Source organism: Homo sapiens, chromosome 6 (genome assembly GCF_000001405.40).
Source record: "Homo sapiens chromosome 6, GRCh38.p14 Primary Assembly".
In the NCBI taxonomy this organism is placed as follows: domain Eukaryota; kingdom Metazoa; phylum Chordata; class Mammalia; order Primates; family Hominidae; genus Homo; species Homo sapiens.
The window spans coordinates 137,194,832-137,221,722 of NC_000006.12; the positions used below are offsets into that span (position 1 = coordinate 137,194,832).

At 38.9% G+C, this 26,891-nt stretch overlaps 1 protein-coding gene across 7 annotated transcripts, besides 8 other annotated features; it reads right to left on the reverse strand.

Annotated features, from left to right (window-relative positions):
- IFNGR1 (interferon gamma receptor 1) lies at positions 2,653-24,554 on the reverse strand. 7 transcript variants are annotated; one of them, XM_011535793.3, is made up of 8 exons: positions 24,412-24,554; positions 20,436-20,546; positions 12,132-12,246; positions 11,305-11,477; positions 9,501-9,673; positions 8,668-8,854; positions 6,050-6,177; positions 2,653-3,808 (listed from the first exon to the last, which is right to left on the reverse strand). In XM_011535793.3, the coding sequence occupies exons 2-8, from the start codon at positions 20,488-20,490 to the stop codon at positions 3,200-3,202; spliced, it is 1,440 nt and encodes a 479-aa protein (XP_011534095.1). In that variant the 5' UTR covers positions 20,491-20,546; positions 24,412-24,554; the 3' UTR covers positions 2,653-3,199. The 7 variants fall into 7 exon arrangements, with proteins under 7 accessions (XP_011534095.1, NP_001350455.1, XP_006715533.1 ...); NM_001363526.1 differs by lacking the exon at positions 24,412-24,554 and adding an exon at positions 24,153-24,365; XM_006715470.4 differs by lacking the exon at positions 24,412-24,554 and adding an exon at positions 23,841-24,365.
- Positions 12,520-12,689: an enhancer, noted in NCBI's record as "experimental_90375 CRE fragment used in MPRA reporter constructs". NCBI's record gives its function as "activates a minimal promoter by MPRAs in K562 erythroleukemia cells, with activity observed for both the introgressed and non-introgressed 6:137528573 variant alleles {active_cell/tissue: K562}" and the evidence as "EXISTENCE:reporter gene assay evidence [ECO:0000049][PMID:34662402]".
- Positions 22,694-22,753: an enhancer, noted in NCBI's record as "active region_25135". NCBI's record gives its function as "activates an Ori minimal core promoter by ATAC-STARR-seq in GM12878 lymphoblastoid cells {active_cell/tissue: GM12878}" and the evidence as "EXISTENCE:reporter gene assay evidence [ECO:0000049][PMID:35858748]".
- Positions 23,735-23,784: a silencer, noted in NCBI's record as "silent region_17580". NCBI's record gives its function as "represses an Ori minimal core promoter by ATAC-STARR-seq in GM12878 lymphoblastoid cells {active_cell/tissue: GM12878}" and the evidence as "EXISTENCE:reporter gene assay evidence [ECO:0000049][PMID:35858748]".
- Positions 24,194-24,924: an enhancer, noted in NCBI's record as "H3K27ac hESC enhancer chr6:137540162-137540892 (GRCh37/hg19 assembly coordinates)". NCBI's record gives its function as "activates a minimal SCP1, AML or CMV promoter by ChIP-STARR-seq in primed H9 embryonic stem cells {active_cell/tissue: H9 hESC(primed)}" and the evidence as "EXISTENCE:reporter gene assay evidence [ECO:0000049][PMID:30033119]".
- Positions 24,194-25,024: a biological region, named in NCBI's record as "H3K27ac hESC enhancer GRCh37_chr6:137540162-137540892".
- Positions 24,245-24,464: a silencer, noted in NCBI's record as "silent region_17581". NCBI's record gives its function as "represses an Ori minimal core promoter by ATAC-STARR-seq in GM12878 lymphoblastoid cells {active_cell/tissue: GM12878}" and the evidence as "EXISTENCE:reporter gene assay evidence [ECO:0000049][PMID:35858748]".
- Positions 24,505-24,734: a silencer, noted in NCBI's record as "silent region_17582". NCBI's record gives its function as "represses an Ori minimal core promoter by ATAC-STARR-seq in GM12878 lymphoblastoid cells {active_cell/tissue: GM12878}" and the evidence as "EXISTENCE:reporter gene assay evidence [ECO:0000049][PMID:35858748]".
- Positions 24,775-25,024: an enhancer, noted in NCBI's record as "active region_25136". NCBI's record gives its function as "activates an Ori minimal core promoter by ATAC-STARR-seq in GM12878 lymphoblastoid cells {active_cell/tissue: GM12878}" and the evidence as "EXISTENCE:reporter gene assay evidence [ECO:0000049][PMID:35858748]".

Below are 26,891 nucleotides of genomic sequence, written 5' to 3' on the forward strand. Positions count from 1 at the left end.
TCTACACCTGTATGAAGTAAACCTCTAATGAGGGATGTAAGACTTGAAGACAGAAATAGTCTCCATTCTTGCAGAACATTCAACCCTTGAAAATATTAGTTATTTCTAAACATTTTATAAAGTCAAAACAATGCCAACATAAATCCCAAAGGAGTTTAAAATTTGGGGGAAAACTTGGCCAAAAAATTTAGGTTATAGTTCACCTAAAAAATAATTATTGCTGGCAGGGCGCAGTGTCTCACACCTGTAATCCCAGCACTTTGGGAGGCCGAGGCAGGCAGATCATGAGGTCAGGAGATCGAGACCATCCTGGCTAACATGGTGAAACCCTGTCTCTACTAAAAATACAGTAAGTAAATAAATAAATAATTATTGCTAAGAAATATGAGCAATGAACATTGGCTGAAAGTATTCAGGAAAGCCTCAGAAGTCAAAACAGCCTGTAATTGCAGCACTTTGGGAGGTTGAGGTAGGCAGATTGCTTGAGCACAGGCATTTGAAGCCAGCCTGAGCAACATGGCAAAACCCTGTCTCTACAAAAAAATACAGAACATTAGCCAGGTATGGTCATGAGCGTCTGTACTAGCTACTTGGGGGGCTGAGGCAGGAGTGTTGCTTGATTACAAGAGGTTGAGGCTGCAGTAAGCCATGTTCGTGCCACCGCACTCCAGCCTGGGTGACAAAGCTAGACTCTGTCTCAAAAAAACATAAAATATATCCCAGTATAATGTGTATTAAAAGTGTGATACATAGACGGGAAAAGACTGAACAACAAAACTGTTCCAGGAGTGCTGAGAATTTGGCATGTGATAAATGTGACATTTGAAATCAGCATAGAAAAGTTAGATAATTTAATGAATAGTATTTGGGATAACTAATTTGTTAAGGGAAATATATGAGTTGAGTTGTATCCTCAAAAAGATGTGTTGAAGTCCTAACCCCTGGTACCTATGAATGTGATCTTAACTGGAAAGTGTCTTTACAGATGTAATCAAGTTAAGAGGAGGTCATACTGGATTAGAGTGGGACTAATCAATCCAATTGACTGGTGTCCTTATAAAGATCTGGACACAGACATACAGAGAAGAATGCCAGGTGACAAGAGGCAGAAATTGGAATAATGCAGCCATAAGTCAGAGAATATCAAGGATTGACAACAATCACTAGAAACTAGGAAGGGGCCCTCCACCCCTAGAGCTTTCAGATAGAATCTGGCCCTATTGAAACCTTGATTTCAGACCTCTAGCCTCTGAACTGTGAGATAACAAATTTCTGTTGTTTTAAGCCACCCAAGTTTGTGGTAATTTATTACGGCAGCCACAGGAAACTAAAACAAAAAAATAAAGCTGGATCTCTATCTCTGTCCTCAAAGGAAAAAAATCTAGATGGATAGAAGAATTAAATGTAAAACAATCATCACCAAAGACCAGAAGAAAACATGAGTGAAAACTTCTATCTTTTGGGGAAAGGGGAAGGGCTTTTTAAAAATAGAAGGAAATAAATAAATTTGACTTTATAAACAACTTAAACATCTGTGTGGTAAGTCAAAAGGCAGGAAATTATAAAATAAATCTGTAACTCAGGGCAGATAAAGGGTAGTAAGAAAGATATAAACAGCCCATAAAAAAATGGACAAAGAACAAGATGAGTTGGCATGAAACTATAAATAAGATATAAAAACATGCTCAAATTTACTAAAGAAATGCAAATGCATTTAATGTGTAAAGTGTTTTACCGAGATTAAAGACTTATTTCAGTCAATTAGCTAGGGTGTAAAAACAGGTACTTCATTCACATTTGATGGGAGTACACATTGGTATAATCATTTTGGAGGGTAGTAAGTATTACCTCTTCCTTGGCTATTTCAATTATTTTCATATTTTTGCTTTTCCCATTCTAATGTGTGCATTGTTCATGTAGTTTTTTTTTTTTTTTTGTAATTTTCCCACAAGAGAGATCAAAGTCTGTTGAAGGATATTACTTTTGTGGAATGTGATATGTATGGGGTATCAGTTTGAAAAGCAATTTACAAGACATTACCCTAAAATCAGTGACTATACCAGTTCCACTGCAAACCACACCACTACTTTTTTCACTGATAGTATCTCATTTGTAATTTGCATTTTTAAGTGAAGAGAAATATCTTTCCAGAAACCAAAGAAATGTGATTTGCTACTCATGTAAATTGTATTTCATTTTTTTTGGTCCATTAATTCACAGATTCATATTAATTTCTGAATATTTCTATCCTCTTAGTAATTCCAAGAAATCCTTGGGTAACATATATATTAACTCTTGGTTTGCCTCTCACTGGGGATTCTTTCCACACCATGTAATTCTCAAGGTTCCATCCATTTCCATGGCTCTGCCCACCACCTTTATGCTAGATTCCTCAATCCACATGCTCTACAGCTAAATCTTTTCTTCTCAAACCACTTAGAACAGTGTTCTGCACACTGGGTGTTAAGCACTGAAATATAGACCTATAAGGACCATTTAAAAATATTATTTTTAGGGTTGTTTTAAATATTAAATATGAACAATTAGCAAATAATCCTATAGCATTAATGCATGGAAACAAGCAGTGGATATAAAAATATTCTGCTTAACTATGAAAGACTGCCTAAGTGCTTGAATAAATGAATACAAAAACGAGTTTTAAAATTCTTTATTTAAAAATCTCTAACTGTAATGTTTCATAAAAAATATACACGTTTCTATTTACATATTCCATTAATTCTATTAGTTTGAATTAGATTTTAAGTCCAATTTTGAAAAGCTTGCAGAATTTCTTCTGAAATTACTTAAAATTACTGTATGCATAAACTTACAAAAACATATGCTATACCAAGGCAGAGAAAAGAAAAAAAGTGAAGTGGCTACAAAGGTCCCTGGGGCATCACCTGCTCACCTAGGAACCAGGAGTACTGGATACTGTTCCGTTACTGGTAACCTATCTGGATGTAAAGGTTCATAAGTTACAATGCTTTTTTTGTTTAAAAAAAAAAAAAAGTCTGTACTTTACAAGCCAAAAGTGAAAATGCCACACATCCTCTTTACGCTTTCATGTACACTAAGTCACTCCATTTGGTTGATACCAACTAAGATACAATTTCTGAGATCATAATCTTTTCATGAAATTAAAGCAGAAAACTGTCCAGGAAAATCAGACTTCAAAGTTGGTGCAACTTAGCTGATCTCATGAAAATTCTTTGGAATCTTCTGTTGGTCTATAACCAATCAAGGACTCTTTACCGCTATCATCCACAAGTAGATCCACTAGCACATGTGGTTTATCATAACCAAAGGAGGTGGGGGCTTTTATTACGGTTATGAGCTCTTGTCCTTCTGTTTTTATTTCACCTTTATTATTTGGGGGAAATTCTGAGTCAGATAAGGAGCTATGTGATTCCAGACAGCTGGAATCAGTATCAAAACCATTTCTGGAGTGATCACTCTCAGAACAATTTCTGGAGTGATACGAGTTTAAAGCGATGCTGCCAGGTTCAGACTGGTTACTACTTAAAGGTGAAGAACTCTCTCTCTCTATTGGAGTCAGATGGCTGCCCGGGACCACGTCAGGAATATTTTCTTCAGTAGTCACCACTTCTGTTATACTAGAAAGTTCTTCTGTATGTTCCACTTTTCCTGGATTGTCTTCGGTATGCATGCCTGGAACTGTTGCTGGAGACAACGGCTCTTCACAGACCACCTCCTTTTCTAAGGAAAATGGCTGGTATGACGTGATGAGTGATACATATTTTGATTCAGGTTTTGTCTCTAAAGTAGCACTTCTTACCACAGAGATCTATGGGGAGAAAAATTGATTAAAGATAAAAAATTGTTAAGCTTAAGTGCCTACCCTCAAAAAAAACAAAGGTCTGAAGTAATGGACCACCAAATGGCACATTTAGGATAATGGGTGAATCAGATGTTGCCATTTCTTTTTAATGAAAGGTCCCATAGTAATATTAAAAACAAAGTTTTAGAATTTTTAAAAAGCCATCAGATATCTTACTAATATATGTTGCTTTTTGTACGTTACTGTGATGGTTAATACTGAGTGTCAACTTGATTGGACTGAAGGATACAAAGTATTGATCCTGGGTGTGTCTGTGAGGGTGCTGCCAAAGGAGATTAACATTTGAGTCAGTGGGCTGGGAAAGGAAGACCCGCCCTTAACCCGAATGGGCACAATCTAATCAGCTGCCAGCATGGCTAGAATGTAAGCAGGCAGAAAAATGTGAAAAGAGAGACTGGCCTAGCCTCCCAGCCTACATCTTTCTCCCATGCTGAATGCTTCCTGCCCTTGAACATCGGACTCTGAATTCTTCAAGTTTGGAGCTTGGACTGGCTCTCCTTGCTCCTCAGCCTGCAGATGGCCTATTGTGGGACCTCTGATCGTGTGAGTTAATACTAAATAATACTAAATAAACTCCCCTTTATATATATATATATGAAAAATATAATTAATATATATTATATAATATATAATTTATAATATATAATATATAATTTATAATTTATAATATATTATATAAAATATAATTTATATTACATAAAATATATAATTTATAATATATTATATAAACATATAATTTATAATATAATATATAAAATATATAACTTATATTATATAAAATATATAATTTATAATATATTATATAAAATATATAATTTATAATATATTATATATAATATATAATATATATTATATAACATATAAAATATATATAATATATAATATATAAAATATAGATTTATATAAAGGGGAGTTTATTTGGTATTATATATATATCTTTATATATATATTCCATTAGTTCTGTCCCTCTAGAGAATCCTAATACAATTATCTTCCACATGTACGCACATTATGTTTACAAAGTGGGCACATCTACTTAAGTAATATTCTCATTACTTGCCTTCATCATTATAATTTTTAGTAGCTCATATTATTTCTTTATACTGATAAATAATTTAATAGATGGGGAAATGTTTCCAATTTTTACTAGCTATGGAACATGTTAAATATCCTGTACATCTTTTTATTTATGAAATTATTTCCTTATAATACATTTTTTAAGAGTGGAGTGACCATATCAAAGAAATGGTATGTTTACGTCACTATTACACTGAATACCCACTGTGTGCTTTTATTCTTACCAGGGCTAGATTACTTTTCACCAGCATTTACCCGTTATGCTACTGCTGGTACTACTGGATATCCAGGTTTCTTTTTTCTTCTCTAGCGCGTGTAAAATGGCATACTGCAAGGTTACTTTGTGCTTAATTACTAGTAAGAATAAAATATTATAATTCATTTGTGAGTTGACTACTAACTGTTGAGAGTTCTTATCCACTTTAAAGGTAGTTTATAGCAAATTTTAATGTGCCCTTTGAGCATCACAGATATTATTCCTGTCATATTTGACTCAAATAGATACTATTCTGTTACCTTTAAATGTTCTTTACATCAAAGGCTTTGAAATGTTGGACATTAAAATCGTCAAACTCCTACGTTAGTCTCATTTTTGGCCAACTTTCCTTTCATACTCCAACCATAATGAAGTGTTTCTGTATTTGCAGAGCTTTCAAAGTCATGCTTTCTTGGCTCTGGACCTCAGCACATTCTGTCCCCTAGTGCCTAAACTCCTGTATGTCCCTCAAGACTGCTCAGGCATTGCCTCTGGAAAAGCCATGACTAACCCCACCCCAAAGCTGGACAAAGTCCTCATGGGCTCAGGTATAAATCTTTGAATCTATCACACGTTATATAGCCAATGTATATTTATCTTTTCTTCCCCCTAGACTTTAAGATCTTTAACAGAATTGTCTCACCGTGTTTTTCCCTGAGAATAAAAAAAAAAACAAAATACTTGCTGCACAGCAAAAGACACAGTATGTGATTTTGCATGTGTGGTAGACTGACTGATTGATGGCAGGTGACATCTTGTTGAATATCATTCTACTTTAAAAACATAATTTAAGAAACTATCAAAAAAGGTTCAAGTTAACTTTTTAGTGTATATAAAAAAATTAAATACATTACCAAGGACTTGGGTAATATTATGCTTTTTTCCTTCAATGGATTAATTTTCTTAATATAAAAACAGATGAATACCAGGCTAAGCACTAGAAAGAGTAGTAAAGCAGCAACAACTGGAATCCAAAGAGAACCTTAAAAAAGGCAGAAATCACAAGTTACAATTAAGATGGAATACTGCTATTATCTATCAAAAAGTCTTAGTGCCATTCTTGAATAGATTTACAAATTAGTGAATAGGGCCAGAGTTTTAAAGAACACTGAAGGAAGCAGAAGTTAGGAAATCTGAGTAAAAAATTAGGTATCTGTCTTAGATAGCAATATGGTTCTTCCCAGCTCTGCAATTCTAGAACTTTCTGGGACTATTCTACTATGACACAACATAGTTAAAATAGCTTTTCTACAATAATTTCCTTACAGCCCTACATACAGTGTGTTTCCAGGGTTATGCATTTCTTTCGGTTAAAAATGCAAAAGAATAATTTTAAAAATACCTCTCCTTAGAAACAAATTCTGGCAGCTGGGCACAGTGGCTCAAGCCTGTAATCCCAGCACTTTGGGAAGTCGAGGTGGGCGGATCACGAGGTCAAGAGATCGAGACAATCTTGGCCAACATGGTGAAACCCCATCTCTACTAAAAATACAAAAATTAGCTGGGTGTGGTGGCATGCGCCTGTAGTCCCAGCTACGTGGGAGGCTGAGGCAGGAGAATCGCTTGGACCTGGGAAGTGGAGGTAGCAGTGAGCTGAGATTGTGCCACTGGACTCCAGCCTGGTGACAGAGCGAGACTCCATTTCAAAACAAAACAAAACAACAAAAAAAAAAAGAAAGAAATTCTGGCAATGTTTATTGCTCTTAAGATGATTTAGCCCCACTCCTCAGAATTTCCTGTTACATTTATTTCACGACTGCAAATACTTATAAAGCTTCACAGATGTACATGCACACAGCAATGCTGCACAGGAATAAAGTCCCCTTAGTTATAAACCAGACATAAATAATATAAAATAGGAAAGATTTGTTTCCAAGCACATACATCTAGAATCACCATTGTGTACTTTGCTGTAATGCTGCCTTTTATTTTTGCAGCACAATCTTCAGTATTTTTTTTTTTTCATAGTTCTCTCTTCCAAATTAACAGCACTCTAACATACTGTGACAATGTCCGGCATCCTTTAGGGCATTTTGTTACCCAGAATTTTCTAACTATGGAAGTTACTAATGAATGCTTCTATTACGCTTATTACAGGGTGTGAAAAAAGTTAAATCATTACAAAAGTAAAAAGGAAAATAACTACAAAACCAACATTAGTGCTGTTAGAAGTCCCACGGGCTGAGCAAGTGCTGGCTGCAAGGCATTGAGGCAAGCAGGCAGGGCTGCTGCTCAGGAGCCACGGCAATGCCACCGTGTGGCCATACTATCAGTGCAGTGTATAATTCAGGCTAAAAACAAATCTGCGGCATTTGCATTATTTCAAATTTTGAGCATTAAGAAGGGTTTTATTTTTCAAATAGCATAACGAAAATTAGCATAAAATGCATTGCACTGCTTTAAATCACCTATTTGAAACCTTCATATAATGGCTTGAAGTTATTAGTATTGAATTTTAGGTGTTTGTTCTGGCTCTTCAGCCTATATTTCCATTCCTCGAAAATATACTTGCATCATAAAATTTTAAACCTATGAAATCTATTCTAAAAAAATCCTAAGGAAAAAAATATATGTATACACACACACACACACACACACACACACACACACACACACACAAAGATAATCATCAAAGCATGAGTTACAATATATGCTTAAAGCAATACACAAAATCATATATACTATACAATATGATCATGTCTATGTAGAAAAACTAAAGAAAATATCAAACTGTGAATAATGGGGTATTTTTGCATGGTAGAACTACAGATTATTTTGTTTTCTTCTGGTTTTTCATATTTTATAAATTATCTATAATGAACACTTACATTTCCTAACTGCAAAGAAAAGTCCAAACTTCTTTAAGGTTCCTGACACCTGAGAGTAACAGTTCTAAAGTTCAAGTTCTAGCATATATATCTCTACCTCCCCACCCCCCACATTAAAAGATGAAATAAAATTAATTATTGTAAAATGTTATAAAAATGACCCATTATCTATTATTCAAACCCATCTATAAACTTTTTTGGATATTAATCTCGAGTCTTTGTCCAGTCCACGTCATACAGTTGTAACCAGTGATCGTTCCTGCTCTTCAGTCTTTAAATTACAATCCCCATAAAGAACATTTTAGTGGATTCACAACATCTTGCTATGGTGAAGTAACAAACTGACTTATAATTCATAATCCTGAAATGCAAACATTTGTGTAGTTTTATGTACTTATTATATATTTTTTCTTTCCTGGGTCAAGGGGCCATCACATGGCTTTCCAAATTAGTTGTTCTATATCTTTAAATGTGTGAGAAACTGCTTTATTTTTAATTTTGAACTTCTCTAAGGAATGGAACTAATGCAAATGAATATTGTTAAAACAGATCTTTTGAAACTGCAAATGAGTTTGCTTTCCTCACATGATCCTATTTTAGTTACTGCTCCCTCTATATTTAGAAAAAAAATGGCAAGAACTTACCTTTTATACTGCTATTGAAAATGGTAATACAAACTTCTTTTGACTTTTCAGTTGTAACACCCCACACATGTAAGACTCCTTCTGCTGAAACACAGTACTGAGAATTCAGTGAGGATACTGGAATCGCTAACTGGCACTGAATCTCGTCACAATCATCTTCCTTCTGCGTGAGTATTTTATACTGGATCTAGATGAAAAAAGAAAACAGTGAAAATGCACAGCTTCTTTTAATCTGAAAAAAAAAAAAAATCACCATATTAGTCCTGGTCAAACAACTGAAGAAATATATATGATTGACTTGAACATGTCTAAAAATAGCTTTACTATCAATAAGTCAATTTGTTACTTCAACACAGCACGATACTATGCATCTGTTATATTCCTTATAAAAATGGTAAATTTAAAAACTCAAATTGCAGGAATGTTTATTGTTAGTTGTTAAACTAACAAATGTTCATTTGTCCTATTCATTTGTCCAGAAATTTAGCTGGTGGGAAACAGAAGTATTAATATTACTTTACGTCACCGCCAATGAGGAAGAAAATCCTCATTTTACCAGTGGAGCAATGGAGGTGTACTGGGAAAAATCCTAGATTAGAGCCATTCTGCTAAATGAAGCAAATAAAAACTAAATGTATTCACATGGTCAGTGTTAGTGACTAACTCTGTATCATTTTTGCTTTAATAGCATTCACATATTTTTCTTATCAAATCTATGATCTGTGAGTCTTGCTTGAATATTTATAAGCATCCTATTTTCATTACACTACAGAAAGGAACAACTTTTGCTAGCTACACAAGAATTTCCATTATGAAAAATGTGAAACACATACCTCACTTCCGTTCATTCTCACATACACATTGTACACCCTAATGTAACAGGTAGTTTCGGGATCATAATCGACTTCCTGCTCGTCTCCATTTACAAAAACTGAAGGGTGAAATATGTCAATCATGATTTGCTTCTCCTCCTTTCTGATATCCAGTTTAGGTGGTCCAATTTTTCCTGGGGAAGGAGGAGGAGGAAGTATAATAAATACTGGCCTTGGAACTAAATGGTACATTTCATAAAATTACCAGAATCTATCAATCAACCTATTGTTTTTGTTCTGGTTGTTCTAAAGCAGGACCACATTTAAACCACTCCACAAATATCTAGAAGATAGTCTCGGGGTCCTTAATAAACAAATGTTTCATAAATCTCAGGCAAGAAGTACTCTTATTTAATCTGAATGCCTATTTAGCAGTTTAATTTCATTTCTAGTTGTAAATAAAAATAGTTATAAACTTTGGTTAAAAAAAGACTTCACATAATATAGACTCTATTAAGTAATTTTTCCTTTATCTTTGCTTCTGTGGATTAAGAAGCCTGGATTCTAAAAAACGTTTCAGAAATGGCATTAGTTTTCTTCCCTCATCAAAACTCTTTTTACTGTGAAAAATCAGAACTTATTCCATAAATATTTATTAGGTCTTTGATGTTTGAGACTTTGTTGTGAACCATTTATCTAGTCTTCACATATTACTGTGTACCACTGTGTGCCAGGCAGGTCTGTTTTTAACCCATCAGTGTATCCTCAGGGCCCAGTATACTTTCCGGCACGTAGTAGGCCCTTGATAAATCTATATGGAAAAAAATCTAACATGCAGATGGTGTGGTAATCATATGACAAAATTGTGGACTCTGGGGAAGAAAAGTATTTAAAGGGTAAGGAGAGGAAGAGCCTGTAGAAGAGACCGAGGTGGCACAATCTAAAAGGCAGGAGCAGAGAAAGGAAGTGAGGCTAGAGGGAAAGGGACCCAAGGGCTAGAAGACTAGGGAGGAGTCAAGTGACTAAAGGTGTCTTTTACCCAGGAGTCAGGGTCTGAGAGCTAAGGCAGGATGTCATAGTTGGAATACAGGAACTGGAATTAAAGATTCAAGAGTTTGAGGTGACAGCAAACATCAGGTACACTATGGGAGTGGGATGCTGGAAGACTGAAGACCTGAAAATCACAGTGGCTGAAGAGAATAAGGAACTCTGCAATTTTTTAATGTATTAAGGTGGTATTCAGGTTCCCCAGGCATTCAGAATAAGAGTTAGCTGCCAAAGTCCTTAGTGAATATAACTTACAAATGAATGACAAAAGATGGGAAGGGCAAGGGTGGTGCAGGGGACCGCTGGGCAGCACAGACCCATAATTGTATGAAGTGGAAATGTCATGGCATAGAAGCAGCTAAGTGATGGCCACCTGTTAGCCCTATTTTGTGGGGCTTGAAAGAAGGGGAGGATACAGGTTGAGTATCCCATATCCAAAACGCTTGAGATCAGTAGTATTTTCGGTTTCTGAGTTTTTTTTTCTGGATTCTGGAATATTTACATTATATTTACCAGTTGAACATTCTAAATCTGAACATCCAAAATGCTCCAATGAGTATTTCCTTTGAGTGCCATGCTGGCGCTCAAAAAGTTTCAGATTTTGGAGCATTCTGGGTTTCTAGACTTGGGATGCTCAACCTGTACTGACTCTAAATTCCTCCAAGTGTTTCTTAAGCATTGTGATAATTTTCAGCAACTGCTAATAAAAGCAAACATACAGAAGACATGTATAAATATTTTCCAATTTAAAATTTACATGTGTACACATTCTACTCACCATCTCGGCATACAGCAAATTCTTCTGACTTTGCATAGGCAGATTCTTTTTGTCCAACCCTGGCTTTAACTCTGACCCAAAGAGAATTTGATGGATCACCAACATGATCAGAAATATTACAATAATGATGAGAAATATTGATGCAGGCATCAATCCATTCTGAATTCTTAACACTAAAAAGAATAAAAAAATGCGAAGATAACTTTTATTGTTATTAAATAAACTCAAACCATTTCTGTCTGTGCTTTGCTTTTTATTCACAGCACAAAGCGGTAGAAAGAGCAGAGCTAAGAATAGGATGGAGACGCCAGAGAAAGTAGGAAACCCTTACTCTTTAGTTAGAAGAACTACAAACTCTGTTACAGTAAAGAGGCTCAATTCAAAATGTAAGACCTATGCAAGCCACATTCCACATTCAATTTTTTAAAAATCTGTTTTTTTAAACAACTCTAAATTCCATTTATATATGTTAATTATAGAAGTAAGCACATTAAAAAAACTAACAGTTGTCAAAAAAGTTTTTTGAAATTTATATTGTTCTACTAAAAATACACTACAGGAAGATGACATAGTAACTATTAGCTTTATTTGTCATGCTAATCTCAGAAGTTTAGTGATACTTCTCTATTTCAATACTGATAAGGAAGAGGAAATAAGAGGCAAGAAATATTTGGCAAAGAATTTGCATCTTTAGTACTTTTGGACCTCTATAAGCAGTTTAGAATGTTTTGCCACGTGGGAAGGCTGATGAAAGAACACAGTTGTGGAATTTCCAAGGACCTAAACAAAAATGGAATAAAAAGGATAAATAAAAGAGTGACACTCACCCATAGTTCTTTACCTCTACGGTAAAAACAGGGACCTGTGGCATGATCTGGTACTCCCAATATACGATAGGGTTCATGTTATAGGATTCAATTGTAACATTAGTTGGTGTAGGCACTGTAAGAAAATAAAAAAGTAAAAGGGACAATTGTAAGAAACTAACATTAATATTGGAAAGCCTTATTGTAAGATGCCACATTGCCCAGATATGTATATTTGAAGAAAAGTAGAATTCACCAGGATACCAAAATTATTTAAATGAAGAGTAGACATCTAGAAATTAATTTTATTGAAAAATCTATAGAAGAGTTCTGATTCGTTTTAAATTATGGAAACATCATTGCAATATAAAGGAAACACAAATACAGCATGAAGCAATAAATTCCCTTAATATGATAGAAGTTTTATAATCAAATGCACTGATTATTGAATTAATAATCCTCATTTCATCACTAGAATTTTCAATATTTGATACTACAGATTGTATTCAATGTTGATAGGGTTTGGCTGTGTCCCCACCCAAATCTCAACTTGAACTGTATCTCCCAGAATTCCCATGTGTTGTGGCTTGGACCCAGGGAGAGGTAATTGAATCATGGGGGCCAGTCTTTCCTGTGCTATTTTCGTGATAGTGAATAAGTCTCATGAGATATGATGGGTTTATTGGGGCTTCTGCTTTTTGCTTCGTCCTCATTTTCTCTTGCTGCCACCATGTAAGAAGTGCCTTTCTCCCCCGCCATGATTCTGAGGCCTCTCCAACCATGTGGAACTGTAAGTTCAATTAAACATCTTTTTCTTCCCAGTCTTGGGCATGTCTTTATCAGCAGCATGAAAAAGGACTAATACAGTAAATTGGTACCAGCAGAGTGGGGCATTGCTGAAAAGATACAAGAAAATGTGGAAGCAACTTTGGAACAGGGTAACAGGCAGAGACTGGAACAGTTTGGAGGGCTCAGAAGAAATAGGAAAATGTTTGGAACTTTACTTAAGAGACTTGTTGAATGGCTTTGCCCAAAATGCTGATAGCAATATGGACAATAAAATCCAGGCTGAGGTGGTCTCAGTGGAGGTGAGGAACTTGCTGGGAACTGGAGCAAAGGTGACTCTTGCTATGTTTTAGCAAAGAGACTGGCGGCATTTTGCCCCTGCCCCAGAGATTTGTGGAACTCTGAACTTGAGAGAGATGATTTAGGGTATCTGGTGGAAGAAATTACTAAGTGGCATAGCATTCAAGAAGTGACTTGCGTGCTGTTAAAGGCATTCAGTTTTATAAGGGAAGCAGAGCATAAAAGTTTGGAAAATTTGCAGCCTGACTATGAGACAGAAAAGAAAAACCCATTTTCTGGGGAGAAATTCAAGCTGGCTGCAGAAATGTGCATAAGTAGCAAGAAGCCTAATGTTAATCCCCAAGGCCATCGAGAAAATGTCTCCAGGCCATGTCAGAGACATTCACGCCAGCGCTTCCCATCACAGGCCCGGAGGCCTAGGAGGAAAAAGTGGTTTTGTGGCCAGGCCCAGGGTCCCCGTGCTGTGTGCAGCCTAGGGACTTGGTGCCTTGCGTCCCAGCTGCTCCAGCTGTGACTGAAAGAGGCCAACATATAGCTCAGGCTGTGGCTTCGGAGGGTGGAAGTCACAAGCCTTGGCAGCTTCCACATGGTGTTGAGCCTATGGGTGTGCAGAAGTCAAGAATTGAGATTTGGGAACCTCTGCTTAGATTTCAGAAGATGTATGGAAATGCCTGGATGCCCAGGCAAAAGTTTGCTGCAGGGGCAGGGCCCTCATGGAGAACCTCTGCTAGGCCAGTGTGGAAGGAAAATGTGAGGTCGGAGCCCTCACACAAGTCCCTACTGGGGCACTGCCTGGTAGAGCTGTGAGAAGAGGGCCACCATCCTCCAGACTCCAGAATGGTAGATCTGCTGACAACTTCTGGAAAAGCTGCAGACATTTGATGGCAGCCTGTGAAAGCAGCTGAGAGGGAGCCTGTACCCTGCAAAGCCACAGGGGCAGAGCTGCTCAAGACCATGGGAAGCCACCTCTTACATCCGCATGACCTGGATGTGAGACCTGGAGTCAAAGGAGATCATTTCGGAGCTTTAAGATTTGACTGCCCCACTGGATTATGGACTTGCATGGGCTCTATAACTCCTTTGTTTTGGCCAATTTCTCCCATTTGGAATGGCTGTATTTACCCAATACCTGTACCCACACTGTATCTAGGAAGTAACTAGCTTGCTTTTGATTTTACAGGCTCACAGGCAGAAAGGACTTGCCTTGTCTCAGATGGGACTTTGGAATGTGGACTTTTGGGTTAATGCTGAAATGAGTTAAGACTTTGGGAGACTGTTTGGAAGGCATGATTGGTTTTGAAATGTAAGGACATGAGATTTGGAGGGGCCAGGGGTAGCATAATATGGTTTGGTTGTGTGTCCCCACCGAAATCTCAACTTGAATTGTATCTCTTGGAATTCCCACGTGTTATGAGAGGGACCTGGGGGAAGTAATTGAATCACGGGGGCTGGTCTTTCCCATGCTAGTCTCGTGATAGTGAGTAAGTCTCACGAGATCTGATGGGTTTATCAGGGGTTTCTGCTTTTGCTTCTTCCTCATTTTTCTCTTGCCGCCACCATGTAAGAAGTGCCTTTCGCCCTTGCTGTGATTCTGAGGCCTCCCCAGCCATGTGGAACTGTAAGTCCAATCAAACATCTTTTTCTTCCCAGCCTTGGGTATGTCTTTATCAGCAGCACGAAAACAGACTAATACAAATGTCTACAGAGGAACTGGCTACAATGAGGATGGCCAATTTCACTCTAAAATACCATCAACCTCTCAACTCTACACATACTACTATTTATGCCTTCCACACTTTTTCTATAGTACAGGAATAGATACCTAAAGATTGAACAATGGAGCCACACATTCCAGTTTCATCAACACTCTGCTCTCTGGGGTGTGCAGGGCTTTTTACAAAACATACCCAACATTTCTTCTTGCCTTCACTCTTTCAGAAAACATCTGTTGATAAGACTTGAGTCACGTAAGAGAACAGACAGAAGTCATTTTAACATCTAATCAGACACTACCAAAATCTAGTTATTAAAAGTAGTCATGGGCCAGGTGCGGTGGCCCACACCTGTAATCCCAGCATTTTGGGAGGCTGAGGTGGGAGGATCTGTTGAGCTCAGGAGTTGGAGACCCTGTCTCCGCAAATAATTAAAAAATTAGCCAGGTGAAGAGGCCTGTGCCTGTAGTTTCAGCTACTCGGGAGGCTGAGGAAGATTGCTTGAGCCCAGGAGGTCAAGGCTGCAGTGAGCTGTGACTGTGCCACTGCATTCAGTTCTCTTAGAAAAAAAAAAAAAGGAGTCATTTTTCCCCACTGTTTGGTGTAAAAGGTTGTTATCCAACACCCCTTGGAAAACTGAACACACACACTTCTCCTTTCTCCCTTCACTTCTTTACAGATAAACATGAATGTACACAGTTAGCGATGTGACCCCAAATTTATGGTTATTCAATCTCACCTCCCTGGAACACTCTATTAAACATGATTTACTTATATAACTAAAACAAATAAATGAATGTCCATGTGGATAGGAACAGTGGCTTCCAAACATAACTTATAATCATCCTCAAAAATTGTGAGAGGGACAGAAGTTTCTATTTTTCCAAAGTGCCTTGGATGATAATGATGATGATTTATATTTATATCAAGCAGACTGCTTAAATAAGAAAAATACTCCCTAGGTCAAACATTAATAAATTTGGGTTCTTTCTTGGCCACACTGCTAAATACTTCAGATTTCCTGATCTGTCATGAGGTGTTACTTTCATATCCCTAAGATATTTGCTTACTGCTGAAGGGAAAATCTATATTTTCCCCAAACAAAAATTCCAATATTCAAGACCAAACTGGTATATTGCCTTAATTTACAATTATTTAACACATATATTTTCAAAGCAGAACATGGATTAAGAGTTTTTTAGGTAAATAATAGGCACTAATGGACAATTAAATGCTATCACCATTATTATTTTCCTTTTCTGATTATTTTTTCCTTTATTGCAGTGGTTCTCTGTGGGAAGTGATTTTGTTGCCAGGAGACATTAGGCAATCAATGTCTGTAGACATTTTTGGCTCTCACAACCTGGAGAAGAAGTGTGTGGGGGAGGTACTGCTGGCATCTAGAGGGCAGAGACCAAGGGTGCTGCTAAATATCCTACAATGCATCAGACAGCCTCCACAACAAAAAATAATATAGCCCCAAATGCCAGCAGTGCCAAGGTTGAGAAACCCTGCTTTATGTTTACAATTTAAGTGTTCTTTAAAAAAAAAGTTGAGGAAAAACTAACTTAAAAACAGAATGCTTTACAGTAAACCTGTATATTTCATGGCTCCCCTCAAACAAATGAATAGATTTGGTTATTGCCAAAAGATCTAACTTCTATATTATTTACCAAAATGGTGTAATAATTTGGGCCAAAAGGTTGAGATTATCAAGCTGGGGAGGGTCTGAAGATTCAAATACTTCATACTACTAACTTGACCTTTTTGTGGCCAGTGACCAGACACCTAGGTTTTCTCCTTCTGCTTCCAGAGGCGCAGCTGAAGGCTCTTGGTACCTGCCATCTCTGGTTCTCTAAGCAACTTCCTTGTAGGTGATCCCTAAGGCACTGTTCTTGCCAGAGTAGCCTTGGCTCTTTGTTTTTTGTAGAGTTCCCATGGCCATTCATAGCAGGGGATACTGAGGCTTCCTTAAGAGGGTCTTTTTTCTATCACACGTTTGCATCTCAACCTCCTGAAACAACTCAAATACTTCACAATCCATATTTTAGGTAGAAATAAAAGTCATTCCTCTTCACCTGGGTTCAATCAACATTAATATCAAATAACAATCACACATATAAATATACTTTTTCAACCGGAAAACAGAGGTACTTGATGCTAAGAAAACTCATACTAAATCTGAGCCTTCCTTCGGAGACCATTTCTTCATTTTGGCATTTTTTTGCCTCTCGAGAGGCTGAGAATTTTCAAACCAGGTGGTCCTGGTTTCTTTTTAACAGTTCTTCCCATGATTGAGCAAAGTCTCACCTGTTACTATAAGACGCAAGAAGAAACCAGGTGGCACTTTCAGCACTCTGGTTAGAAACCTCCTGAGCTAGATCACACAGCTCCTCAGACATTCTCTACTTTTGGTGTCACTGAAGGCTACAGTGTCACTCAGCTTTCTGCCACTACATAGCAAGGACCCCCCTTCCTCTAGGTTTCCAAGACTGGAAATCCTTTGCTTCCTTTTAAGCTCCACTCCCCTCCTTTTGAGACAGAGTCTTGCTCTGTTGCCCAGGTTGGAGTGCAATGGCATGATCTCTGCTCACTGCAACCTCTGCCTCCTGGGTTCAAACGATTCTCCTGCCTCAGCCTCCCGAGTAGCTGAGATTACAGGTTTGCACCACCAGACATGGCTAATTTTTGTATTTTTAGTAGAGATGGGGTTTCACCATGTTGGTCAGGCTGGTCTCAAACTCCCAACCTCATGAATCGCCCACCTGGGCCTCCCAAAGTGCTGAGATTACAGGTGTGAGCCACCGGGCCCAGCCTAAGGCTCTCTTTTTAATTATACCCAGTAGGAATGGCTTTATAATGGTATACGCTCAACCTGAAATTCCTGTGAGAAAAAGGCATATAGAAGTCAATCTGCATACTAGAATATCAAACAAAGTGCATTTGTACTTAGGAAGGGGCTACTGAATCACACAATGGAAAACTACAAACAGGAGTAGGCTTGTGCAGCATTAGATTAGTTTTTAACGTGAATCAAAGTATGTTTCCTATAATTTAAGTAAAAGCCTGATATGGTTAGACTAGGACAAGGACTTAAATCATAGCTTTCAAAGCAAGACAGACAGGTGGTAGGAGGAAAATATTTCAATGGTTTATAGCAAAAAGAAATTACTACTAGGTTAAAAGAAAAACTTATAAATTTACACCAAAAGATGTAATCTGTGGTTTTTAATGCTACCAGAGGAGAAACTGTGTGGTTATTAGACATCTGCCTTTGTTTTGCCAAATATTATTTTTTGCCAAATATTATTTGCCAAAATAATATGACAGACATAAGCAGTTTTCTTAAGCTTCAGAATTTTGTAATGTGAGGTTTAAATTGTTATATATTCAGATTAAATTAATTAAGGCTTACAATTAACTTCTAATACATTTACACTATGTAAATAAAAATATATGTAGAAACAGCAAAAGAGTATTATTATCTCTGGGGCTTAAGAAAAGATCTTACCAGAGTGATTTCATGAAATAAGATAATCTTACAGATTTTCCCATCTCTTGAAAATGCCAAGATAGTTTTGTGTAACTCATGTTGCTTTTGGAAATGGACTCAGAATTATTTAGTGTATTACATCTGCATACTATCCGGAGTAAACTTTAGCTATTTTAAGATCTAATTCCCAGAACTCCCCTACAACTCACAGCTGATAATTTAAGAAAACTAAACACAGGAGAGAAGAATTTGTTTTTCCTAACACTTTAATTACAATGCAGAAAAAAAAAGGAGGGCCCTGGTTAAAGCCAACTGTTTCCTCAGAAAGCTGATAAGCCAGAAGAGACAGGATATGAAAAAAGAGAGACAACACAAAAGACCAGTGAAGATCAGCAGGTGATACAGAGCAGTGCTATCGACGGGACCATAACAATGTCACAAAGGACCAAAAAATAGCAGTCGTGATAGCTCTGCAATAAATGTTGGTGAATGTAGGGTGGATGGCAAACTACAGATACCTGCAGAGTATAGTCTGAAGACACTGGCCATTTCCTCTGCATAGCTGGGTGACAGGAACCAGGGCTGCTACCTGAGTCCATCCTGTAACCACCAAAAGCATCTGTGTCTCTTTAAAAAAGGACAGCCCGAGGAGTTCATCACCCATCTTAACACACTAGTGTAAAAAGACTGTATAAAAGGTTTGTACATCTATGGTGGAACAGGGCTATGGACTCTGCAGAAATCATCTGACAACCTGCTCACCAACCTCTTCATGGGAAGAGCACGCTGAGAAGCATAAGGAAGTGAGGATGAAGTAAACTGTTGTTCTGGATTCTAAGTCATCTGACACTACAACTCAAAAACAAATGTTTCAAATTAAAGCATCTGGATCTTTTCCTTAAGAACAACTCTCAGAGAAGATCTAACACCTTCCCCATGTTAAAGATACAGGGACAGGAATGGGGACTGTCACAAAGGTTTCATCTGCACAGCAAACAGAACCAGCATAAGAAATCCACACTGAATAAATGAAAAGTACCAAATCAAGGCCTTTGTATTTTTGTCAGAACATATTTGATTACAATCTCCCTCCCGAATGGCTTCCAGTGGTGATAAAATGACTATTTTTCTTAATGCTTTCCAACTTTCACCGTAGCAAGGAGCCGCATCCCCCAGGTTTAAGCTGAGTACAGACATTTTGATAATTCTTGCAGGTGATGTTTCAAGTGTTCATTGAAATCTTCTAATTGAAATTTTTCTTTTTAAAGAGCCAGGCATAACACATAGTGGCCTGCAGTGAACTTGTAAGTAACTAACCTCCCCTATATTTTTCCCTCGCACCACCACCAAGTTGGGGCTTATCCAATAAATATCTGCTCAGCCACTTTTCTGACTTGAAATCCAGGGCTTTATTCTTACTCCTATTTATCCAATTTCATCTAGTTGGGTTTGGTCTGGCATTAGTTCTGACTGGACCAGACCAATCTAGTCCCTGAGAGAAGTCATTTCTCAACACTAATTCTCTTTTGGACTAACTCATTCTGAATTGAAAAACAGTTGAGGAAATGAAAAAACAATGCAGGCCTTTCCAGTCTACTAAAAAACCAAACTTTTTTGTCTGTTGGAAGAGATGGAAGAATGAGTTAGCTGCTGAGCCTGTTTTAAGTTTCTCATACTGATCTGGTTAAGTTTGTTTTTTTAAAAGCCAACACAATTTCTCACATATGACTAAGGGAATTTAATATTTAAAGATATATTTGTTAAAATAATAATGCACATTATTGAATAATCCCTAACATATTAAGTATTTACTACAAGACACACAGTGTGCTTACCTTTTTAATGCATTACCTCAGATACTCATCACATCCATCCCGTGAGGGAGACAATGTTACCATACATATTTTACCAATGAGAAAACAAAGGCTTAGAGAAGTTACGTAACTTGACAATATGCAAAGTTTTGTTGGTTTTCATTAAGAAAAATGCTTCCAACATCTTTGTGATCGTTTAATAAAATAAGGGGTAAATTACCTCCATATTTAAATTGGAATTGGAGAAGACTATTTTCTGGTGACTTCAAAAGCATCTGCTTCAGGTAATGTTTCCTGATTTTATTACATTATCACAATTATATTATGGCCACTGCAAAAGTTGAACAATGCATTAAAATGAATAATTTCTTAAAAATACACAAGACCTAAACAGATACCTAGTATTCTGATTACTATGCATTAGGATAATCTAAAATAAAGGCACCCCTTTAATAAGAAAATTACAAGTAAATTCCTTTCTGTTAGGAATTCACTTCATTCTGGTTCAAACCTCATTCTGATTCTTTGTTCAATCAAAATTGAACCATTAATTACTCATCTGGTTTGTAAAGCAACTTCACTACTGGTATGCTGCCAAATTTTGTAAGATAGCTGTTTATTACTTTTCTTTAGGTTTTCATACACAAACACACACACACACACAAACACACACACAAACACGAGAGACAGAGTCTTGCTCTGTTGCCCAAGCTGGAGTGCAGTGGTACAATCATGGCTCACTGCAGCCTAGACCTCCTGGGCTCAAGTGATCCTCCTACCTCAGCCTCCCCAGTAGCTAGGACTACAGGCACATGCCACCACACAGGGTTAATTTTTGTATTTTTTTGTAGAGATGGGTTTTGCCATGTTGCCCAGGCTGGTCTTGAACTTCTGGGCTCCAGTGATCCTTCCGCCGATGTGCTGGGATTACAGGCATGAGCCACTGCCCCCAGCCTAGGTTTTCTTTTAGATAGAACCAAAATATGGTCCTTTCAAAGTCTGTGTGAATTATGAATCAGAATAAAATGAAAAAGAAAATTTAATACCCTATTCAATAAATATAATTAAAAAGTATTATCCTGTGTATTTTGAATCTCTGAAATAACTATAGAATCCAAAGAAATAGTGAAAAATTTAAACAGTACTCAGAGCTTTATCCTAAAGTCAGATAATTAGTAGGAAGCATAGCTGATAAACTGTACAAGGTCAGTGAAGAGCCTTCCAGTTGGTGTGAAGTCCAGCCTAGCTCTTCAGCTATTACTCAGAGTGGGACACTCATCTGGATGAAGAAAGCCAGTGGCACACCCTGATTCACTTAAAAATATATACTACTTTTATGTGTAAAAGTGCATGAAGAGTGAAATACTACTGATTAAGTGGCACACACAGATTTTATTTTCACTTAAGAAGTATTAATGAAAGCCCATGAATGTAACACAATACATTCCTAAACACCTGGATTTCCTGGAGACTGACTATATCACCATATTCACTTGTCTGCTTCCCTGTTCTTACCAGGTCCTCTCATCTAAGATGAACTTCAACTATAGAGTCAAGCCCAGCAACAGTAAGAATAAGGCTGGGAAGCTAAGCAAGAGCCAGAGCATTGTTGGTTTCTTCCTACTTTGGAGATTTTGTGTTTTAAATTAACTTTAAAAGAACAGGGAACACAACAAAATCTAGAGAAATGCACTGAAAAATCTAGAGAAATGTGTTAGAAATGCACTTTAAAAAGAGGGCTCACTGAAACTAATGAAAAGCAAGGCCGGGGTGCTTGTCTCTTCTAGGGGAGTCAGGAAAGGCTTCACAAAAGTGACCCCAGTTTTAGAACGAGAGGTACAGAGACAAATTCAAAAGTTTCTGCAGAATATAGAAGGCTGCAGTTGATCTTCCCACGGGAGGCAGACAGGCAATCCTCCTCCCAGAGCAAGCTACAAGGACGTGCAAATTGTGCACTCACAGGGGTCACACGGTGCACTCATAGGGCCCCGTATTCAGAAGGAAGGGCCTGGCACTTGCTTTAACGCTATGCCTGCGCTAGCGTTATCCTCTTTCTCTGCTGACATCCAGTCAGAGGCCTACTAACTCTTCCTTCTAAATGTTCTGCTAACTGTCCTCTTCTCCACTTAAACTACTTATCGACTCCAACTTAAGCAGCAGCCTCCTAATGGGCCTTGTGTTTACCCTCAAACTATTTTATAAGATGACTGGTCTTTCTAAATGGCATGTCTGATCCTGCATAAAATCATTTCCCTTTGTAATTGATAATCCAATGATGTCAGCATTAGTAAATAATGACTGACTTCAGCAAGGCATAGTGGGTGTATTATTTTGTTGGCTCAACACCTGTACTTCAGGCACGCCATTCCGCTTCTTCTGGTAACCCAACCCAACCCTCTACGAGAATGTCCTTCCCATGCAAGCTGGCACCTGAACCTAGCTGGGCAAATCAGAGCCTTTCCCTGGCATTTTGTTAGAATGGAGGAGGCTGCAAGATGTCAAAACTCAGAAGCTGTCAGCATCCATGATTCCTGCCAAGTGTGGAAAGCTGTCAATACCCAGACAGAAATAAGAAATGGAGAGTCCTAGCAGTTTGGGTTCCTGGTTCTAGCCTCTTGAGACCCAGCTGGCATCTATAATTTTCTGTTTAACTCTGGTTTTTCTGAGACAATAAATTCCTCTTTTTGCTTAAGTTAATAAAGCTAGGTTTCTTGCTGGTACACATAATATGGCAATTCATTATTTGGTTCCTACTTCTCCACCTAACCTATCTCCTCCCCTTGTAAGCTCTCACACACACTTTACAATAGAACGCTTAATATTCCACGAATTCAACATGCTATCACACCTCTGCACCTCAGTCTCTGCACCTCTGGTTCCAACACTGGGGTCACCTTTGTGAAGTCTTCACTGACTTCCCTAAAAGAGACAAGCACCCCGCCTTGCTTTCCACTAGTCTGTGCCTAAGTGCAAGCTCTTACCGCAAAGTACTGCAACTGCCCATGTGGATGACTGACTAGAGCCTAGAAGAGCAGTTAAGAACTTGGACTCTGGAGCCAAATTGAGCAGCTCCCCACTGAGTGGCTATGACCTCTCTGCCAGTTGGGCAGGCCTCTCCGTAACTCAATTTCTCGTCCATAAAGAGAGAGACAAATAACGCCTACTCCAGAAGATTGTTGTGAACACAGAACCAAAACGTGGACCTTTCAAAGTCCCTATGAATCATAAATCATAATAAAAAAAAGAAAACTGAATTGAAAAGGTTTACTGTTTTCTCTGGAGCTCGTAATCACAATTACTCTGCACTTCAGAAAAGCCACCCTCAACATTTGTTTTCTAGGAAATGTCAATAAGCAGGTGGAAATAAAATGCTCCGAAGAACAAACCCGTACGAAGAGACCTACTGCCAAATCTGCTAGTGAGTGCCGGCAATCCACCACTTCCAGACTGAGACCTAAGACGGACTGCCACTTACTTCTCAGCTGCCACTTACTTCTCAGCTGGCGACATAATGCATACTTTCCTACCCTAAGCACTTTGAGTCCCCCCCCCCACCCCCGCTAAGAAAGAAGTATTTAAGCCACGAACTGAGACCACGATGCCACATGCTGATCAGGACACTCACAGTCATGCGTCACTTAACGATGGAGATCCGTTCTGAGAAATGGAGAAATGTCCCCTTAGGCAATTTCTTCGGGCAGTAGAAACCCAGACAAACCCAGATGACACAGCCTACTGCTCTTAGGTCATGAACCTGTACAGCCTGTCACTGCACTGAACACTGCAGGCAACCGTAGCATACTAGTGAGTATCTGCGTATCTAACCATAAAAAAAGGTACAGTAAGAAGACGATATTATAATCTTTGAGACCACGCTGTCCCACATTGACCAGCAACGTCCTTCTGCAGCGCATAATCGTATTTAAAAGTGGATTACAAGAGTCGGAAAAACAAGCGGCGTGATTTGTTGTGGCGGCAACCAGGGAAGAGGCAGGAGAAAGGCAACCGACGAGTTCAAACCACGGAGCCCCAGTCTCGCGACCCCACCTCGCGTCCCCGTCGCCCGCTCAGGGCCCGACGCAGGGGTCCCGGGCTAGGGCGACCTCGGAGAAGCGGGGCGGGGCTTCCCGGCTGGGGCGGATCCCTCCCTCCCTCTCGTCCCGACCCGGCCGCAGCCCTGCCGCGAACGACGGTACCTGAGGACGGCCCCAGATCCGCGGTGCCCATCTCAGCCCTGCTCACACCCTGCATGACAAGGGGTAGGAGAAAGAGGAGAGCCATGCTGCTACCGACGGTCGCTGGCTCCAACCCCGAGCGCCTGCGGGACCAGCCCAGCACTGCCCTCCAGCCCCGGCCTTACGTCACTTCCGTCACCGGGGTCTGTGCCGGCGTCGGCAGGAGGCGGGACCAGGGCGTGGGCGGGGTCAAGTCCGGGAAGCCGCAGGAGGCGGACTCAGGCGCAGCACCCAGCAGTGAGCACGGCGTCGTGCGGTCGGGACCTGGACTTCTGGGTGTGGGAGGAATTTGAGTGCAAAGGTTAAGGTCTTTCAACCTGGCACCCCATTCTGCAATTCTTCTTCCAGTTTTTTTCGGTTTCCTGGGGTTGTGCAAGTTTGCATTAGGCCACAGCCGAGCCACAATCCTTATTTTACTAACTCTTGGACTTCACCTGGTTGTCTTGGAGCCTGACATTTTTAGAAGAGAATGAGACTTCAAAAGCCATTTCCAGTCCCTGCTTTTTCATTTGAGGAACCTGAGACTTAGCTAGTGAAATGGTTTGTGCAGATTCCCACAGCCCAAATCAAATCGGCTTGACCAAGAACTACTTTGTTCTTGGAGAAAAAAACTATTTGCATTACCTTCTCAGCAATTCAGTGTCAAATCAGTTTATCAGGCAGCCTCTCATGAAGAGGTCTGCTCTCTTACCTCTCTGGGTTTGTCTGTTATTTTGCATCTCTCCTATTCCACTGCAGCCACATTGCTAAGTCCTTCAGCGCTTGTGCTCAAACATGCGAATGTCTAATGATCTCACCTGTTTCAATTCTCTGAGTATCATGAACTTTTGTTAAAAATTTTAAATTGCAACACACCTTCTCCTCCTCCTTACCCCGCCCTACTGTTTTTTCATGGCACTTTTCACCTTGCTGTACACTATAATATACACCTTGATATTTGTTTTCTTCTCCTTCTAAAATGTAAGCTCCGTAGAGCTGACATCTTTACTTGGCACTCAATTAGTATTTGTTGAGTGAAAGACTGCATGATTACTAGTGTTAAGGAAAATTTTTAAAGAGGGAAAATCCTTATAAAGACACTATATAAACTAGAGGTATTATCAGCCAGATCATTTTACTTGTATTAATAAATCTCTTAGCTCAGTACTTCTCAAACTTCAACATACATGTGAACCATCTGGGGATCTTGATAAAATGCAGATTTGGATTCAGTAGTTCTAATTCAGGTTGGGTCTTGAGATTTTGTATTTCGGACAAAATGCACAGGGGATGCTGGTGCCCCTTTCAACAGGACCACACTTTGAATCAGAAGAATTTAGCTCAATCTAGACTAAGTTTAGGGAGAATATTTCCTTTGATGTGTTTCTGATGTCCACTATATGAAAGACACCTTCTAGTCGTTGTAAGGATGCAAGGATAAATAACTGATCTTTACCGTTTAGGCGTCTATGGAGTAGGACAAAATATGATATCCAGTTTGTAAACATTTTTGTGGTACTTGTCACAGGCTGGGTTACCCTGGCAGTAAACTCTGAGGTCGAGATTAAGGTATAAGGCATTGATTGATTAGGGAGTGCTCTTGGAATAAACGTCTGTGAAGGGGAGGTGGAGGAAGCAGAGCGGAGGAAGAAGTTGATCTGTGATGCCATCCCAGTAAAGGCTCCCAAGGGGCGCTCTGGAGTTGGGATGGCCTTGTAAAGGTGTCTTGAGTTGGTATGAGGGGCTGGGTCTTAAAGCCCAGCACTGATTAGTCATTGAATACCAACTGTCATGATTTTGGGGCTGTCCATTTCTTTCATGGAGGCATTCCCCAGAGGAACGCTGACGGTTGAGGGTGTCTACTGGCAGCCCTCCTAGCATCAGGAAGGGGACAGAACCCAGTCTTCTGTTCCTGAGAGGGATCTGGGCAAGTTTCACAATCACAGCACCCACCACCCTACGTATCCTTCTGAAGACTTTGCTAGTTAGTCATTTGGAGACTAAATATATTTATTAATTGGGTGAATATTATCAAGTGATACTGTCTGTGACTGACATGACCAGGCACAGAGATAAAGACCTGAGCAAGACAGACATGGCCCCTGCCCTCACGGAGCTTACTGTCTACTGAGGGAGATAGCTGTTAAACAAGGAATTACACAAGTACTGAAATCGTGATCATCATTCCCAAGGAGAGCAATGGGAAGAGATTAAAGGAGTATAAACAGGAATTTAACTTAGTCTACATTTTAAAGAAAGTCTTTCTTTTCTTTTTTCTTTCTTTTGAGACAGGGTCTCACTCTGTCGTCTAGGCTGCAGTGCAGAGGCATGATCATAGCTTACTGCAGCCTCAAACTCCTGGGCCCAAATGATCCTCTTGCCCCAGCCTCCCAAATAGCTGGGACTACAGGTGTACACCACCATGCCTGGCTAATTTTTTTTTTTTTTTTTGAGACAGGGTC

Coding starts and splice junctions, on each gene's coding strand:
- IFNGR1 (NM_000416.3), bottom strand. CDS start 24,496: ATGGCTCTCCTCTTTCTCCTACCCCTTGTCATGCAGGGTGTGAGCAGG. Junction 9,674..11,304: donor ATTTGCTGTATGCCGAGATG/GTGAGTAGAATG, acceptor CTCCTTCCCCAG/GAAAAATTGGACCACCTAAA. Junction 8,855..9,500: donor TGAGAATGAACGGAAGTGAG/GTATGTGTTTCA, acceptor TTTTTCATCTAG/ATCCAGTATAAAATACTCAC.